This window comes from Homo sapiens, chromosome 11 (genome assembly GCF_000001405.40).
Source record: "Homo sapiens chromosome 11, GRCh38.p14 Primary Assembly".
Lineage (NCBI taxonomy): Eukaryota > Metazoa > Chordata > Mammalia > Primates > Hominidae > Homo > Homo sapiens.
In genome coordinates this window covers 508,976-527,194 of record NC_000011.10, presented here as the reverse complement: position 1 = coordinate 527,194, position 18,219 = coordinate 508,976, and the positions used below count along the sequence as shown (strand labels likewise).

General features: G+C 51.5%; 1 protein-coding gene across 6 annotated transcripts in view; it reads right to left on the bottom strand.

Annotated features, from left to right (window-relative positions):
• LRRC56 (leucine rich repeat containing 56) overlaps positions 1-18,219 on the bottom strand; it is a 48,451-nt gene that overhangs the window by 27,718 nt on the left and 2,514 nt on the right. For 4 of the 6 annotated variants that reach the window (XM_017017167.2, XM_011519875.3, NM_001441284.1 and 1 more), the window contains exon 1: positions 8,088-8,207. The exons of 1 other annotated variant lie outside the window; for it this stretch is intronic. The gene's annotated coding sequence lies outside the window, so the exon portion shown is untranslated. Of the gene's footprint in view, positions 1-2,879; positions 3,260-8,087; positions 8,208-18,219 lie in introns of those variants that run through there. One more of the 6 variants, XM_017017168.2, reaches the window with a different exon arrangement.

Below are 18,219 nucleotides of genomic sequence, written 5' to 3'. Positions count from 1 at the left end.
TGAGTAGCTGGGATTACAGGTGCCCGCCACCACACCCGGCTAATTTTTTTGTATTTTTGTAGAGACGGGGTTTCACCGTGTTAGCCAGGATGGTCTGGAGCTCCTGACCTCATGATCTGCCCGCCTCGGCCTCCCAAAGTGCTGGGATTACAGGCGTGAGCCACCGCACCTGGCCAGTCCCAAAATTTCTAACATTAGAAGATTGGTGTGTGTGCCTGTGCATTTTTGCTGAACAATATTTCTTTTTTTTTCTTTTTTTAGACGGTGTCTCGCTCTGTCGCCCAGGCTGGAGTGCAGTGGCGTGATCTTGGCTCACTGCAACCTCCGCCTCCCAGGTTCAAGCAATTCTCCTGTCTCAGCCTCCCCAGTAGCTGGGACTACTGGTGCCCACCACCATGCCTGGCTAATTTTTGTATTTTTAGTAGAGACGGGGTTTTGCCATGTTGGCCAGGCTGGTCTCCAACTCCTGACCTCAGGTGATCCACCCACCTGGGCCTCCCAAAGTGCTGGGATTACAGGCATGAGCCACCGTGCCCGGCCACTGAGCAGTATTTCTTTGTAGGGATGTAGCACAGGTTGTTCACCTGCTAAAGAATATTTAGTTTGCTGCCAGATCTTGCCTGTTACGACTGGAGCCTCCTCCATAGGCATTTGTGTACCGTGCCCCCCGAGGACGTAGACTTTCAGTTTGTTAGGGGAGACACTGGGGGCGGGGTTGCTGGGTCCTGTGGTATGTGCCTGACTCTGCACCTGACTGTCCAGCGTGCCGGGCCCCTTGCCTTCTCAGCCGGGATGCATCGGAGTCCTGTCGCCCGTGATTTTCATCTTGGGCGTGTTGCGGGATCTCGTTATGGTTTCAGTTTGCAGTTGGCTGGTGGCCACAGCCTGGACGTCTCCTTAGCGCTGTGTGCCTGCTGCAGGTCCCCTTTGCTGAAGTTTTTGTTCAAGTCTTCATCTTATTTTTAGTTTTGTTTTTATTTTATTACTTTTGAGACGGAGTCTCACTGTCGCCCAGGCTGGAGTGCAGTGGTGCGATCTTGGCTCACTGTAGCCTCCGCCTCACAGTTTCAAGCGATTCTCCTGCCTCAGCCTCCCGAGTAGCTGGGACTACAGGCACCTGCCACCACGCCCGGCTAATTTTTTATACTTTTAGTAGAGACACGGTTTCACCAGGTTGCCCATACTGGTCTTGAACTCCTGACCTCAGGTGATCTGCCTGCCTTGGCCTCCCAAAGGGAAGGATCATGCCGGGATTATAGGTGTGAGCCACCGCGCCTGGCCTATTTATTTATTTGTTGGAGACAGGGTCTGGCTCTGTCCCCCAGGCTGGAGTGTGGTGTGATGGTAGCTCACTGCAGCCTCAACCTGCCTGGCTTAAGTGATCCTTCTGCTTCAGTCTCCCGAGTAGCTAGGACTACAGGCGTGCACCAGCATGCCTGGCTAAATGCTTTTTTAATTTTTCGTACAGACCAGGTCTCACTATGTTGGCCAGGCTGGTCTCAAACTCCTGGCCTCAAGTGATCCTTCTGCCTCAGCCTCTCTAAGTATTCGGATTACAGGCATGAGCCACTTCACCCAGCCCTTTGTTCATTTTGGAAACTGGTTTTTTAATTTGGTTATGTTTTTGAGATTTTTTTTTTTTTCTTTGAGACAGGGTCTCACTCTGTCACCTCTGTCACCCAGGCTGGAGTGCAGTGGCGCGATCTCGGCTCACTGCAAGCTCCGCCTACTGGGTTCACGCCATTCTCCTGCCTCAGCCTCCCGAGTAGCTGGGACTACAGGCGGCCGCCACCACGGCCGGCTAATTTTTTGTGTTTTTAGTAGAGATGGGGCTTCACCGTGTTAGCCAGGATGGTCTCGATCTCCTGACCTCGTGATCCGCCCGCCTTGGCCTCCCAAAGTGCTGGGATTACAGGCGTGAGCCACCGTGCCTGGCCTGATTTTTGTATTTTTAGTAGAGACAGGGTTTCACCATGTTGGCCAGGCTGGTCTCAAACTCCCGACCTCAGGTGATCTGCCCGCCTCGGCCTCCCAAAGTGCTGGGATTACAGGTGTGACCCACCGCGCCCGGCCCCAAGTTGTCTATTTTTTTTTTTTTTTGAGACGGAGTCTTGCTTTGTCTCCAGGCTGGAGTGCAGCGGTGAGATCTTGGCTCACTGCAACCTCCACCTCCTGGGTTCAAGTGATTACCTTGCCTCAGCCTCCTGAGTAGCTGGGACTACAGGCAGGCACCACCACGCCCAGCTAATTTTTGTTTTTGTATTTTAGTAGAGATAGGGTTTCACCATGTCGGCCAGGATGGTCCTGATCTCCTGACCTCATGATTCACCCGCCTCGGCCTCCCAAAGTGCTGGGATTACAGGCATGAGCCACTATGCCCCACCAGTTTTTATATTTTATACTTATACAAGATTGTCTCAAAATGGATCATAGGTCTAAGTTATGACGTTTAGGTCAAGATTCATTTTTCTGCATAAGAATGCCCAGTTGTTCCCACACTGCTTGTTGAAAAGATTTTCCTTTCTCTTTTTTATTTTATTTTAATTAATTAATTTATTTTTTTGAGACAGAGTTTCACTCTTTTTGCCCAGGCTGGAGTGCAATGGTGCAATCTCGGCTTACTACAACCTCCGCCTCCCGGGTTCAAGCGATTCTCCTGCCTCAGCCTCCCGAGTAGCTGTGATTACAGGCACCTGCGACCATGCCTGACTAATTTTGTATTTTTAGTAGAGACGGGGTTTCTCGATGTTGGTCAGGCTGATCTTGAACTCCCGACCTCAGGTGAACCACCCGCCTCAGCCTCCCAAAGTGCTGGGATTACAGGTGTGAGCCACCGCGCCCGGCCAGATCTTCCTTTCTCTACTGAATTGCTTGTGTACCTTGGTCAATAATCCATGAGCCATATTTGTGTGCGTCCGTTTCTGGGATCTCCATCGTCTTCCCTCGGTGTGTGTCTGCCCCTTCTCCAACACCAAGCTGGCCTCACGCTGTCACTCCACAGTCAGTGTAACGTTGGGTTATGTGAGTCTTCTTTCATTTTTCCACGTGTGGTGCATTTAGAATCAGTTTGTCTAAATCTACAGAAAGTCCTGCTGGGATTTTGATTGGAATTGCAATGAATCCATAGATCAATTACCGAGAACCGATACCTGTATGATAGTATGTCTGCATGTAAGAATGTGGTATGTCTCTCCATTTATTTAGGTCTTTAAATTTTTTTCTTCAGATCTTGTAGTTTTCTTTTTATTTTGTTTATTATTCTTTTTTGAGACAGGATCTTGCTCTGTCACGCAGGCTGGAGTGCAGTGGCACAATCTCGGCTCACTGCAACCTCTGCCTCCCAGGTTCAAGTGTTTCTTCTGCCTTAGCCTCCTGAGTAGCTGGGACTACAGGCGTGCGCCACCACACCCGGCTAATTTTTGTATTTTTACGGACAGGATTTCACCATATTGGCCAGGCTGGTCTTGAACTCCTGATCTCATGATCCACCTGCCTGGGCCTCCCAAAGTGCTGGAATTATAGGCGTGAGCCACCGCGCCCGGCCCCCCAACCCCGGCTTTTTTTTTTTTAGATGGAGTCTCTGTTGCCCAGGCTGGAGTGCAGTGGCGCAATCTTGGGTCATTGCAACCTCCACCTCCAGGGTTCAAGCGATTCTCCTGCATCAGCCTCCTGAGTAGCTGGGATTATGGGTGCCCACCACCACACGTGGCTAATTTTTGTATTTGTAGTAGACATGGGGTTTCACCATGTTGGTCAGGCTGGTCTCAAACTCCTGACTTCATGATCTGCCTGCCTCAGCCTCCCAAAGTGCTGGGATTACAGGCATGAGCCACCACGCCCGGCCCCCAGATTGCTTTTTAAAACTATATATTGCTGGGCGAGGTGGCTCATGCTGTAATCCCGCCTTTGAGACCAAAGCGAGCGAATCACCTGAGTTCGGGAGTTCGAGACCAGCATGACCAACGTGGTGAAACTCTGCCTCTACTAAAAATACAAAAATTAGCCAGGCATGGTGGTGCGTGCCTGTAATCCCAGCCACTCAGGAGGCTGGGGAGGGAGAATCGCTTGAACCTGGGAGGTGGAGGCTGCAGTGAGCAGAGATGGCGCCATTGCACTCCAGCCTGGGTGATATAGCGAGGCTCAGTCTCAACAAAACAAAACAAAAAACTATATATTGTTGTTTTACAACAGTAATAGATTATCTCTGTACATAGAAAATATATACAGAGACCAGCTTGGCCAACATGGTGAAACCTCGTCTCTACTAAAAATACAAAAATTAGCCGGGCGTGGAAGCACATGCCTGTAATTCCAGCTACTTGGGAGGCTGATGCAGGAGAATCGCTTGAACCCAAGAAGTGACGGTTGCAGTGAGCCGAGATTGCGCCACTGCACTCCAACCTTTGCGCTTTGGAACGAGTGAAACTCTGTCTCAAAAGAAAAGAAAATGTATACAGAGAATGTCAGAATTTATTTACCAGAACAAAACAAAAAAAGGGCAGGTGAGGTGGCCCACTCCTGTAATCCCAGCACTTTGGGAGGCCAAGGTGGGCGGATTGCTTGAGCTCAGGAGTTGAGACCAGCCTGGGCAACATGGTGAAACTCCATCTCTACAAAAAGTACAGAAATGGCCAGGTGCGGTGGCTCACGCCTGTAATCCCAGCACTTTGGGAGGCCGAGGTGGGCGAATCACGAGGTCAGGAGATCGAGAGTATCCTGGCTAACACAGTGAAACCCCGTCTCAACTAAAAAATACAAAAAATTAGCCAGGCGTGGTGGCGGCCGCCTGTAGTCCCAACTACTTGGGAGGCTGAGGCAGGAGAATGGCCTGAACCCGGGAGGCAGAGCTTGCAGTGAGCTGAGATCGCGCCACTGCACTCCAGCCTGGGCGACAGAGTGAGACTCTGTCTCAAACAAAACAAAACAAAACAAAACAAAAAAACCAGAAATCAGCCAGCCATTGTGGTGCGTGCCTGTAGTCTCAGCTACTCTGGAGGATAAAGTGAGAATCACTTGAACCCAGGCGGTTGAGACTGCAGTGAGCCGTGATCGTACCACTGCACTCCAGCCTGCATGACAGAGCAAGACACTCTTTCAAAAAAAGAATTGATTAATATGCTTGGACCATTTGCATTTAATGTAATTATTGATATATTTGGATTTAGATTTTTTTATTTTTCCATTCATGCTATTTGTTTCCTGTATCTTATCTTCCCTTTTCTGCCTTCATTTGGGTTATGAGAGCTGTTTTGGGCAGCTGATTTTAATCGTTTTTTTTTTGAGACGGAGTCTTGCTCTGTCATCCAGGCTGGAGTGCAGTGGCGTGATCTCGGCTCACTGCAACCTCTGCCTCCCAGGTTCACGCCATTCTCCTGCCTCAGCCTTCCGAGTAGCTGGGACTACAGGCGCTCGCCACCACGTCCAGCTAATTTTTTGTATTTTTTAGTAGAGACGGGGTTTCATCGTGTTAGCCAGGATGGTCTCGATCTCCTGACCTCGTGATCTGCCCGCCTCGGTCTCCCAAAGTGCTGGGATTACAGGCGTGAGCCACCTCACCGGGCTGTAATTGTTTTTGAAAATATCTCTTGGCTGGGTGCAGGGGCTCACACCTATAATCCTAGCACTTTGAGAGGTTGAGGTGGGCCAGTTGCTTGAGCTAGGAGTTCAAGGCCAGCCTGGAAAACATGGCAAAATCCCGTCCCTGCCAAAAATACAAAAATTAGCTGGGCACAGTGGTGTGTGCTTGTAGTCGCAGCTTCTCGGGAGGCTGAGGCAGGAGGGTTGCTTGAGCCCAGGTGGTTCAGACTGCAGTGACCTGTGATCATGGCACTGCACTCCAGATGCCTGTCTCAAAACGCACAAAGCAAAGGGTAGGAACAGGCAGAACCAAGCGGAAGTATGCCTGACTAGTACTTGGTGAAATGCCAGCTAGACCCATGGTGAGTTACCATTTCATATTCTCATGACTAGGGTGGGGACAGGGAGGCCTGAGGCAGTCGAACCAGTGGCTAGTGAAGGTCTGGAGCGGGGAGGGAGCCTGTGCCCTGGGGCGGGAGCGTAAATTCTGAGAGCCACCGCTGGGGGGCGATTGGGCCTGGCAGGGCGTCTGCCCCGTGTCTGGGCACACAGAGGTCCGGAGTACGCTGGCGGTGGCAGTGTTTGCATAAAGTCAGACAAGACGAGAGCATCGGTGAGTAAATGCCGGTGTTCAGGCAGCGGAGTAGTCAACAGCAGCTGAGATGAATAACCGACGCGGTCTCAATATGGACAATTCCCACCCCAATTCTGTTGAATGGAACCAGCAGCTGGCGGGTGGGTGCGCATTGTGCAGCGTTTCCAAATTGTTCAGAGGCGCAGGAAAGGCCCTCGCCATCTGGGAAGGCGTAGGGGTGAGCACGGCCTCAGGGAACAGAAAGGACGGAGACAGAACTCAGGCGGCAGAGGCCTCCAGGAGACCCTGGATGGAGGGGAGAGGGCGACTCGGGGGGCTCTGAGCATGTGTTTAAGGGGAGAGGTCAGGCATGGGGCTCATTATTTTTAAAAAACCTGTTTGTATGTTTGAAATATTCAATACTAGGCCGGGCGCGGTGGCTCATGCCTGTAACGCCAGGACTTTGGGAGGCTGAGGTGGGCGGATCATTTGAGGCCAGGAGTTTGAGACCAGCCTGGCCAACATGATGAAACCCCGTCCCTACTGAAAATACAAAAAAATGAGCCGGACGTGGTGGCGCACGTAATCCCAGCTACTCGGGAGGCTGAGGCAGGAGAATCACTGGAACCCGGGAGGCGGAGGTTGCAGAGAGCCGAGATCGCACCATTGCACTCCAGCCTGGGCGACAGAGCGAGATTCCCCATAAAAAAAAAAAATCAGTAATAAAGCTCACCTGTGTATCAGGCCGCGTTCTAATAAAGCTCACCTGTGTATCAGGCCGCGTTCTAATAAAGCTCACCTGTGTATCAGGCCGCGTTCTAATAAAGCTCACCTGTGTATCAGGCCGCGTTCTAATAAAGCTCACCTGTGTATCAGGCCGCGTTCTAATAAAGCTCACCTGTGTATCAGGCCGCGTTCTAATAAAGCTCACCTGTGTATCAGGCCGCGTTCTAATAAAGCTCACCTGTGTATCAGGCCGCGTTCTAATAAAGCTCACCTGTGTATCAGGCCGCGTTCTAATAAAGCTCACCTGTGTATCAGGCCGCGTTCTAATAAAGCTCACCTGTGTATCAGGCCGCGTTCTAATAAAGCTCACCTGTGTATCAGGCCGCGTTCTAATAAAGCTCACCTGTGTATCAGGCCGCGTTCTAATAAAGCTCACCTGTGTATCAGGCCGCGTTCTAATAAAGCTCACCTGTGTATCAGGCCGCGTTCTAATAAAGCTCACCTGTGTATCAGGCCGCGTTCTAATAAAGCTCACCTGTGTATCAGGCCGCGTTCTAATAAAGCTCACCTGTGTATCAGGCCGCGTTCTAATAAAGCTCACCTGTGTATCAGGCCGCGTTCTAATAAAGCTCACCTGTGTATCAGGCCGCGTTCTAATAAAGCTCACCTGTGTATCAGGCCGCGTTCTAATAAAGCTCACCTGTGTATCAGGCCGCGTTCTAATAAAGCTCACCTGTGTATCAGGCCGCGTTCTAATAAAGCTCACCTGTGTATCAGGCCGCGTTCTAATAAAGCTCACCTGTGTATCAGGCCGCGTTCTAATAAAGCTCACCTGTGTATCAGGCCGCGTTCTAATAAAGCTCACCTGTGTATCAGGCCGCGTTCTAATAAAGCTCACCTGTGTATCAGCCCGCGTTCTAATAAAGCTCACCTGTGTATCAGCCCGCGTTCTAATAAAGCTCACCTGTGTATCAGCCCGCGTTCTAATAAAGCTCACCTGTGTATCAGCCCGCGTTCTAATAAAGCTCACCTGTGTATCAGCCCGCGTTCTAATAAAGCTCACCTGTGTATCAGGCCACGTTCCTTTAGGAAGAAACACGGAGATCTAAGGAATGCGCGCGGCTCAGGGGTGAACTGCGGGTGATTTTCCCTCTTCTTATTTGTACTTGTATGTTCTGAAAATGTCGTCTAGCTTTTGGGTAGTTCTTACCTGAGAAAAGCCAGACAGCAGGTTTTTGGCGGAAGGACCGGTTTGCACAGCGGACACACGGGAGCTGCCCTCGCGGCTTTCGGAGAAGCCTCCCCCGTGCGGCGCCTCGCGCGCCCTCGTAAGCGCGCCGCGTCTTGGGGCCGCAAGTTCCCCTCGGTTTGGGGGCGGGGTTTCCAGGTCACGTGACCGGGAGACACGCCCCCCCGCCCCGGTCCCTCAGAGCGGCCGGCAGAGGGCGCCCGAGTCCCGGCCTCGCTCGCGCGTTCGGGGCGGCTCCTTCCTCGCGCGCCGCCGGCCACATCCAGGAGGGGGCGCCGCGAGTCCTCTCCGGCGGCCCCGTCGTGGGCAGCCCGGGGCCGGCTCCTGGGCGTCCGGTTCCGCGCTGGCTGCGTTTCCTGCCCCACCTGCTGGTGTCGGCTCGTGCGTGCCTCCTCCCCTGGGTTATGGGAATGGAATACGGTCTCCAAGTAATAAAGTGAACAGGCGGCCGGGCAGGGTGACTCACGTCTGTAATCCCAGCACTTTGGGAGGCGGAGGCGGCCGGATCACGAAGTCAGGAGTTGGAGACCAGCCTGGCCAAATGAAACCCCATCTCTACCAACAATACAAAAAAAATTTAAAAAGCTGACCTGGCGCGGTGGCTCACGCCTGTAATCCCAAGCACTTTGCGAGGCCGAGGCGGGTGGATCACGAGGTCAGGAGATCGAGACCATCCTGGCTAACACCATGAAACCCCGTCTCTACCAGAAATACAAAAAATTAGCTGGGCGTGGTGGCGGGCACCTGTAGTCCCAGCTACTCCTAAGGCTGAGGCAGGAGAATGGCGTGAACCCGGGAGGCGGAGCTTGCAGTGAGCTGAGATGGGCCACTGCACTCCAGCCTAGGCGACAGAGCGAGACTCCATCTCAAAAAAAAAAAAATTTTATTATTATTATTTTTTATTTATTGATCATTCTTGGGTGTTTCTCAGAGAGGGGGATGTGGCAGGGTCATAGGATAATAGTGGAGAGAAGGTCAGCAGATAAACACGTGAACAAAGGTCTCTGGTTTTCCTAGGCAGAGGTCCCTGCGGCCTTCCGCAGTGTTTGTGTCCCTGGGTAGTTGAGATTAGGGAATGGTGATGACTCTTAACGAGCATGCTGCCTCCAAGCATCTGTTTAACAAAGCACATCTGGCACCGCCCTTAATCCATTTAACCCTGAGTTGACACAGCACGTTTCAGAGAGCACGGGGTTGGGGGTAAGGTTATAGATTAACAGCATCCCAAGACAGAAGAATTTTTCTTAGTACAGAACAAAACGGAGTCTCCTATGTCTACTTCTTTCTACACAGACACAGTAACAATCTGACCTCTCTTTCTTTTCCCCACATTTCCCCCTTTTCTTTTTGACAAAACTGCCACTGTCATCATGGCCCGTTCTCGATGGTCGCTGTCTCTTTGGAGCTGTTGGGTACACTTCCCAGACGGGGCGGCCTGGCAGAGGCACTCCTCACCTCCCAGACGGGGTGGCCGGGCAGAGGTGCTCCTCACCCCCCAGATGGGACGGCCGGGCAGAGGCGCCCACTTCCCAGACGGGGCAGTCGGGCAGAGGCGCTCCCCACCTTCCAGATAAGGCGGTGGCTGGGCAGAGGTGCCCCTCACTTCCCAGGTGGGGCGGTCGGGCAGAGGCACCCCTCAACTCCCAGACGGGGCAGCCAGGCAGAGGCGCCCCCCACCTCCCAGACGGGGCAGCTGGGCAGAGGCGCCCACTTCCCAGACCGGGCGGCCGGGCAGAGGCGCTCCTCACCTCCCAGACGATGGGCGGCCGGGCAGAGATGCTCCTCACCTCCCAGACGGGGTGGCGGCCGGGCAGAGGCTGTAATCTTAGCACTTTGGGAGGCCAAGGCAGGCAGCTGGAAGGTAGAGGTTGTGGCGAGCTGAGATCACGCCACTGCGCTCCAGCCTTGGCAACACTGAGCATTGAGTGAGCAAGACTCCGTCTGCAATCCCAGCACCCCGGGAGGCCGAGGCGGGCAGACCATTGGAGGTCAGGAGCCGGAGACCAGCCCGGTCAACAGGGCAAAACCCCGTCTCCTCCAAAAATACAAAAACCAGTCAGGCGTGGCGGTGCATGCCTGCAATCCCAGGCACTTGGCAGGCCGAGGCAGGAGAACCATGGGAGCCCGGGGCAGGGAGGCTGCAGCAAGCCGAGACCACAGCAGTACAGTCCAGCCTCGGCAACAGAGGGAGACCGAAGGGAGAGGGAGAGGGAGAGGGAGAAAAAAATAATTAAAAAGCTTTATAAGCCTGCTGGATTCTGTCAAATGCCTTTTCTAAGTCTACTGAAATGATGATGTATTTTTGTCTTATTTTATTTATTTAGAGACCAGGTCTCACTATGTTGCTCAGAATCCTCCTGCTTCAGCCTCCCAAAGTGCTGGGATCACAGATGTGAGCCACCACGTCCGGCCGTCTTTTTGTCTTTTAATCTGCTTATATGGTGAATTCCATTGGCTCATATTTCATGTTGAACCAGCCTTGCATTCCTGTGATAAATTTCACTGCGTCATGGTGTGCACTTATATTTGTATTATACATATATGTGTGCTCATGGGCCTGTGTTTCAGTGTGTGGCAATGCTGTGGGCCTACAATCATCAAAACAGCTCTGGAAAACAATGGTCAAGTGAGAGGGCATTCTATGCCTGGCTTCAAGATTTGGGTTTTTTTTTTTTTGAGATGGAGGCTCGCTCTGTCACTCAGGCTGGAGTGCAGTGGTACGATCTCAGCTCACTGCAGCCTCCGCCTCTGGGGCTCAAGTGATTCTTGTACCTCAGCCTCCCGAGTAGCTGGGATTACAGGCGTGTACCACCATGCCTGGCTAGTTTTTGTATTTTTGGTAGAGACGGGTTTCGCCATGTTGGCCAGGCTGGTCTTGAACTCCTGGCCTCAAGTGATCCACCCACCTCGGCCTCCCAAAGTGCTAGGATTACAGGCGTGAACCTTTGCACCTGGCCCAAGATGTGTTATAAAGGTTCAGAAATCCAGACAGTGTGGCATTGGTAACAGGATAGACAAATAGATCAGTGGAACAGAATAGAGGATCGAGAGTAGACCCTCACATACATGCTCAACTGATTTTGAAATAAGTGTAAGCAAATTCAGCAGAGAAAGGAGAATCTTAGCAACAAATGGTACTAGAATGACGGGGCTACACATATGAATGGAAGCTTCAATCTATACATGACAGTACATATATAAATCCATTCAAAATTTACTATTAATTTTTTTGAGATGGAGTCTCACTCTCTCGCCCAGGTTGGAGGGCAGTGGCACAATCTTGACTCACTGCAACCTCTGTCTCCCAGGTTCAAGTGATTCTCCTGCCTCAGCCTCTGGAGTAGCTGGGATTACAGGTGCCCGCCACCACACCTGGCTACTTTTTGTATTTTTAGTAGAGACGGGGTTTCACCATGTTGGCCAGGCTTGTGTCAAACTCCTGACCTCTGGTGATCCACCCGCCTTGGCCTCTCAAAGTGCCAGGATTACAGGTGTGAGCACTGTGCCTGGCCTCAGAACTTATTATAAGCCAAAATGTAAGGCCTACAACTGTAAAATGTGCGTTAAGAATGAAAAGGAGGATGTCAGTGTGACTTGGGTTAGAGAAATGATTCTTAAACACTAAAAGCATGACACATAAAGGAAAACCTGATCCACTGGACATCATGAGAATGAAGGGTGTGTGCATTTTGAAAGGCCCTGAGAAGACAAGCCCAGGCTGGCAGAGGCATTAGCAAATATCCCGTCTGAGGAAGGACTCATCTGCAGCATCTATGACAAGCTCCCAGGAGTCATGGGGTGCTGTGCTCTCGGCAGATATGGGAGAGCCTCCCATCCCATCATTCGTGTCTCCGGAGCAGCACTGCTCAAAGTCCCCTACCAATGCCCTCCTCAGCCGACAGACCTGACCCTCCCCACATGTGCACCCACAGGCCAGGCCTTGTGGGTCTTCTTGGGACATGACCCCAACTTCAGGAGGAGGAAAGTAAGAAGAGGAAAATCAATGAAAAGAAAAAAGAATTTACTGGTGGCCCTTTCAAGTCTTTCTGTCAAACGGCCCAATTTCAGGTTCAGCCAGGCAGTGGTGACAAGGCAGCCCTGTGTTCTGCCCAGTTCCAAGGGCTCCACCGCCTCTGTGGGTGAGAAGCAGCAACCAGCCGGGGAGAAAACCATCTAGCTGCGTCAACCTCGGTAGTGCTGGAAGTTAGCACAGGCGGGCCTGGGTTACCACGGTTCAGTTCTAGACACCGCAATAACACAAATGTCGCAATAAAGCCAGTCGGAGGGATTTTTCGGTTTTCCACTGCATATAAAAGTTATGTTTATACCACAGTGCAGTCAGGTGTGCAATAACATTATGTTTACAAAACAATGCATATGCCTCAATTTAAAATACTTTATTGACCACTCCTCACTCCCTCCCCAACTGGGCTCCCACCACCCTACCCTCCCTCAAGACCAAAAAAACAATAAATAATAATAATAATAGGCTGGGCACAGTGGCTCACACCTGTAATCCCAGCACTTTGGGAGGTCAAGTGGGCAGATTGCATGAGCTCAGGAGACCAGCCTGGGCAACATGGTGAAACCCTGTCTCTACCAAAAATACAAAAAATTAGCCGGGTGTGGGGGTGTGCACCTGTGGTCCCAGCTACTAGGGAGACAGAGGTGGGAGGATTGCTTCAGCCTGGGAGGCAGAGGTTGCCGTGAGCCGAGATAATGTCACTGCACTCTAGTCTGGGCAACAAAGCAAGACCTCGTCTCAAAAAAAAAATGGCTGGGGGTGGTGGCTCACACCTGTAATCCTAGCACTGTGGGAGGCCAAGGTGGGCGGATCACCTGAGGCCAGGAGTTCGAGACCAGCCTGGCCAACATGGTGAAACCCCGTCTCTACTAAAAATGGAAAAAAATCAGCCGGGTGTGGTGGTGCGTGCTTGTAGTCCCAGCTCCTCCGGAGGCTAAGGTAAGAGAATCGCTTGAACCTGGGAGGCGGAGGTTGCAGTGAGCCGAGATGGTGCCACTACATTCCAGCCTGGGCAAGAGAGTGAGACTCTGTCTCAAAAATTAAAAAACAAACAAACAAAAAACTAAGATACTGATAGAAAGTGCCAGCAATCACCTGAGGCTTGAGGAAGTTGGGATCTCTTTGCTGGTGGAAGGTCTTGTTTGTGGCTGCTGACTGATCAGGGTGGTGGTGGCTGAAGGCTGAGGTGGCTGTGGCAATTTCTTCCTTTTTTTTTTTTTTTTTGAGATGGAGTTTTGCTCTTATGCCCAGCTGGAGTTCAATGGCGTGATCTCGGCTCACTGCAACCTCTGCCTCCTGGGTTCAAGTGATTCTCCACCACACCCGGCCAGCAATTTCTTAAAATAAGACAACAATAAAGCTGGCCACATTGAGCTTCTTCCTTTCACAAAAGATTTCTCCGTAGCACGCGATGCTGTTTGGTAGCATTTTGTCCACAGCAGACCTTCTCTCACAACTGGAAAATCCTCTCGAACCCTATCGCTGCTGTACCAACGAAGTTTATGGAATATTCTAAATCCTTTGTTATCTCAGCAATGTTTAGAGCATCTTCACCAGGCGCAGATTCCATCTCGAGAAAGCACTTTTGCTGGGTGCGGTGGCTCACACCTGTAATCCCAGCACCTCGGGACACTGAGGCGGACGGCGGGCAGATCACTTGAGGCCAGGAGTTCGGGACCAGCCTCGCCAACATGGTGAAACCCTGTCTCTAATACAATACAAAAATTAGCCGGGCATGGTGGCGTGTGCCTGTAATCCCAGCTACTCGGGTGGCTGAGGCAGAATTGCTTGAACCCAGGAGGCAGAGGTTGCAGTGAGCCGAGATTGCGCCACTGCGCTCCAGCCTGCGTGATATTCAAACTGGAAGAGCAGAGCGAGACTGTCTCGAAAGAAAAACAAAACAAAACAGCTTGAAGCGGCAGGGTTACAGCTCTGCGACGGCCCCTGCAGGCGGGGTGTGCTGGGCAGAGTGTGCTGAGAGCAGCAGCTCAGGACAGTTCTGCAGCCACATTTACACCCACTTTTAATTTCATGTAGATTAAGGGGCAGCCCAGGCAAAAGTTTCTAGGGAAGGGGTAGTAACTTTTGGGTCGTGGGGTCATTGCCATGGAAAGGGGTAGTAACTCCCACCATGCCTGGCCTGTTTACTTTCACTTCCAGCTTGCCCTTGAATTGTTTCCTGGGCAAAGCCAGGAACCCTCGAGGGGCTCAGCCCCACTGTGGGTCTTGCCTGCCCTCCATCAACTAGAAGGCGACGTAGCATTGAGTTAATCCACCATTACTTTAAATGGCATGGATACCACTCATATAGTATTGAGAAAAGGAAGTCAGATACAAAAGAGAACATGCAATATAATTCCATTTATATAAAGTTCAAAATAGGCAAAGTTAGTATGAGGGCTAGAAGAGTGGTGATTTTAAACCTCCGGGCCTTTGTACACGCTGTTCCATCTACCAAGGGTGCCCTTTCCTCGCACCATGTAAACGCAAACGTATGGATCAAGTTACCTCCTTGCCAGGCGCGGTGGCTCAGTGTCATCCCAGCACTTTGGGAAGCCGAGGCAGGCAGATCATTTGAGGTCAGGAGTTTGAGACCAGCCTGGCCACCACGGTGAAACCTCATCTCTACTAAAAATACAAAAAATTAGCCAAGTGTGGTGGCGGGCACCTGTGATCCCAGCTACTCAGGAGGCCGAGGCGGAGAACTGCTTGAACTGGGATGCAGAGGTTGCAGTGAGCTGAGATCATGCCACTGCACTCCAGCCTGGGCGACAGAGCGAGACTCCATCTCAAAAATGAAAACAAAAAGGCTTTGTGGCTCACACCTATAATCCCAGCACTTTGGGAGGCCAGGGCAGGCAGATAACGAGGTCAAGAGATTGAGACCAGCCTGTCCAACGTGGTGAAACACTGTCTCTACCAAAAATACAAAAATTAGCTGGGTGTGGTGGCACGCACCTGTAGTCCCAGCTACTCGGGAGGCTGAGGCGGAAGAATCACTTGAGGCCAGGAGGCGGAGGTTGCAGTGAGCCGAGATCACGCCACTGCACTCCTGACTGGGTGACAAAGTAAGACTCCATCTCAAAAAAAAAAAAATTCGCCTCCTAACCTCACTGAGTTAACTGATCAAGACCTCTCATGCTCTGCCGCTGCACAGCTGTCCCTCCAGCGCCTTGTCTGTGTGTGTGGGGGGTGGCTGGTGTTTTGAATATCTTCCGGTTCCCAGAGGCTAGCTCAGTGTCTGACAGGGCCCTGTGGGAGTGTCTAATTCTCACAGCATCTCCGTGCAGGAGGGAAGGAGAGGGTCACGCCTGGGCCCTGAGGCATCTTGTATCTGAGGCCCCCACATCAGCACGGATCTCCAGAGGCATATACTGTCCTGCCGACTGGTCTGCTTTCTGTCTGATTGAAATTGGAGGCTCAAAGCCAAGACCTTCTCACTTGCAGTGAAGAACCCTTATGGGGCAAAGTTTTCCCCTCAACCTGCTCTATCATGAGCTCCTCCTGCTAAGTGGCAGAGCTTAGCCCGTGAATCAGAGGATACGCTACATTTCAAACCTTAGGAGCAGTCCTGTCACCAAAATTCAGCTGGTCATTGTCAGTTTAACTACCCACTACGTAACCACTCACGTATGAACCTGCAACAGCCACCAATCAAGTTGAATTCTCAAATATTTGCTACTTCATCCTCAATGTTTTCCCATTTCTTTTTTTTTTTTTTTTTGAGACGGAGTCTAGCTCTGTCGCCCAGGCTGGAGTGCAGTGGCGCGATCTTGGCTCACTGCAAGCTCCGCCTCCCGGGTTCACGCCATTCTCCTGCCTCAGCCTCCCAAGTAGCTGGGACTACAGGCGCCCGCCACCACGCCCGGCTAATTTTTTGTATTTTTAGTAGAGACGCGGTTTTACCGTGTTAGCCAGGATGGTCTCGATCTCCTGACCTTGTGATCCGCCCGCCTCGGCCTCCCAAAGTGCTGGGATGACAGGTGTGAGCCACCGTGCCGGGCCAGTGTTTTCCCATTTCACGTGCTGCGTGTGAAAATCCACTGCGTGCGACACTTGCGCTATGTGCACTTTATGTACACATCTCATACTTTGTTAAAAAGGCACTTTCAGACAAACATATTATTTATTTATTTAGAGACATGGTTCACTCTGTCACCCAGGCTGGAGTGCAGTGGTGTGGTCTCTGCTCACCGCAACCTCCACCTTCTGGGTTCAAGTGATTCTCCTGCCTCAGCCTCCCAAGTAGCTGGGATTACAGGTGCAGGCCACCACGCCCAGCTCATTTTTTTGTATTTTTTTTTTGAGATGGAGTTTTGCTTTTTGTTGCCCAGGCTGGAGTGCAATGGCGTGATCTCGGCTCACCAGAACCTCTGCCTCCTGGGTTCAAGCGATTCTTATGCCTCAGTCTCCCGAGTAGCTGGGATTACAGGCATGTGCCACCATGCCTGGCTAATTTTTGTATTATTAGTAGAGACGGGGTTTCTCCATGTTGGTCAGGCTGGTCTTGAACTCCCGACCGCAAATGATCTGCCTGCCTTGGCCTCCCAACATGCTGGGATTACAGGTGTGAGCCACTGTGCCCAGCCATTTTTTTGTATTTTTAGTAGAGATGGGGTTTCACCATGTTGGCCAGGCTAGTCTTGAACTCCTGACCTCAAATGATCCGCCTGCCTCGGCCTCCCAACGTGCTGGGATTACAGGCGTGAGCCACCGTGCCTGACCTGAGTATATTTATAGAAGTAGAACAGGCACAGGACTCTCCACCCAAAGTCACCCTGGTGCCTCTCTCCCCGGGGTCTGACTTAGGCCTTCAGCACCACGGTGTTTTCTCTAGATGGCATCTCATGAACACTGGGGGTCTCTTGCCTCAGCCTGTCCCTGGATTCCCTTTCATGGGGAATGTAAAAGCTCCCTATTTAAGCTAACGTGTAGGCTGGTGGGGCTGGATGTGAGGGAGGGGCAGGTGGAGAAGGAAAGGGCAGCATCCCTCAGATCTGTGTGGAGCAGGATCGGAAGGAAAGGCACACTCGAGTCGGCCAGGACCCGGGGAAATGAGCGAGAATGGTCAGCTCTGGGGCGGTATATAAAACTGGGGGTGGGAATACTTCCATATACTCCCAATTCCACAGTGGGTGAACTGAGTAAGTTTAAAAATAAGATAAAGACATAACGAGGTGAGGCAGGTAAGTTCAAAAATAAAAATGAAGGCCAGGCACTTTGGGAGGTTGAGGCGGGCGAATCACAAGGTCAGGAGCTCGAGACCATCCTGGCTAACACGCTGAAACCCTGTCTCTATTAAAATTACAAAAAAAAAAAAAAAAAAAAAATTAGCCGGGCGTGGTGGCAGGTGCCTGTAGTCCCAGCTACTCGGGAGGCTGAGGCAGGAGAATGGCTTGAACCTGGGAGGCGGAGCTTACAGTGAGCCGAGATCGCGCCACTGCACTCCAGCCTGGGCGACAGAGCGAGACTCCATCTCAATAAAATAAAATAAAAATGAAGACATACCTTTCAGGGGCTGTGGCCGCACTGTCCAGGAGGGAGGCCCGGCCACAGACACCATGCTGGCCGTGCGCTCAGCACCTATACATACCTGGGCACCTTCCCCACAAGGTGTCACAAAAGGGAGCCCAACAGCCATTTTAAACATTTTCTTCACTCTTATGAGAATTGCCACGAACAAATCTAAGAGATCATGGCAAAGAAAAGAATGAAATGAAACCAGAACATTTCAGCAGCTTTTGCAAAGATGTCAAGAGAACCAGTCCAGGAGTCAGACTGGCGGCATCCTTCCAGCTTCTTGTCATGAATTCTAAACCTCACATCCAGACTCCAAAGCTTAGAGAGTTAAAGAATCAGCTACTGGTCACCAAGCTCACGTGTGCAGGATGAGGGTCACAGCCAGGTTGGCTGCCTTCCAGCCCTGAGCTTTCTTGGGGGTGTGTGTGTGTGTGTGTGAACCACCTTCTTTTTGAGACGGAGTTTCTTTTTTCTTTTTTGAGATGGAGTTTCGCTCTTGTTGCCCAGGCTGGAGTACAGTGGCACGATCTTGGCTCACTGCAACCTCTG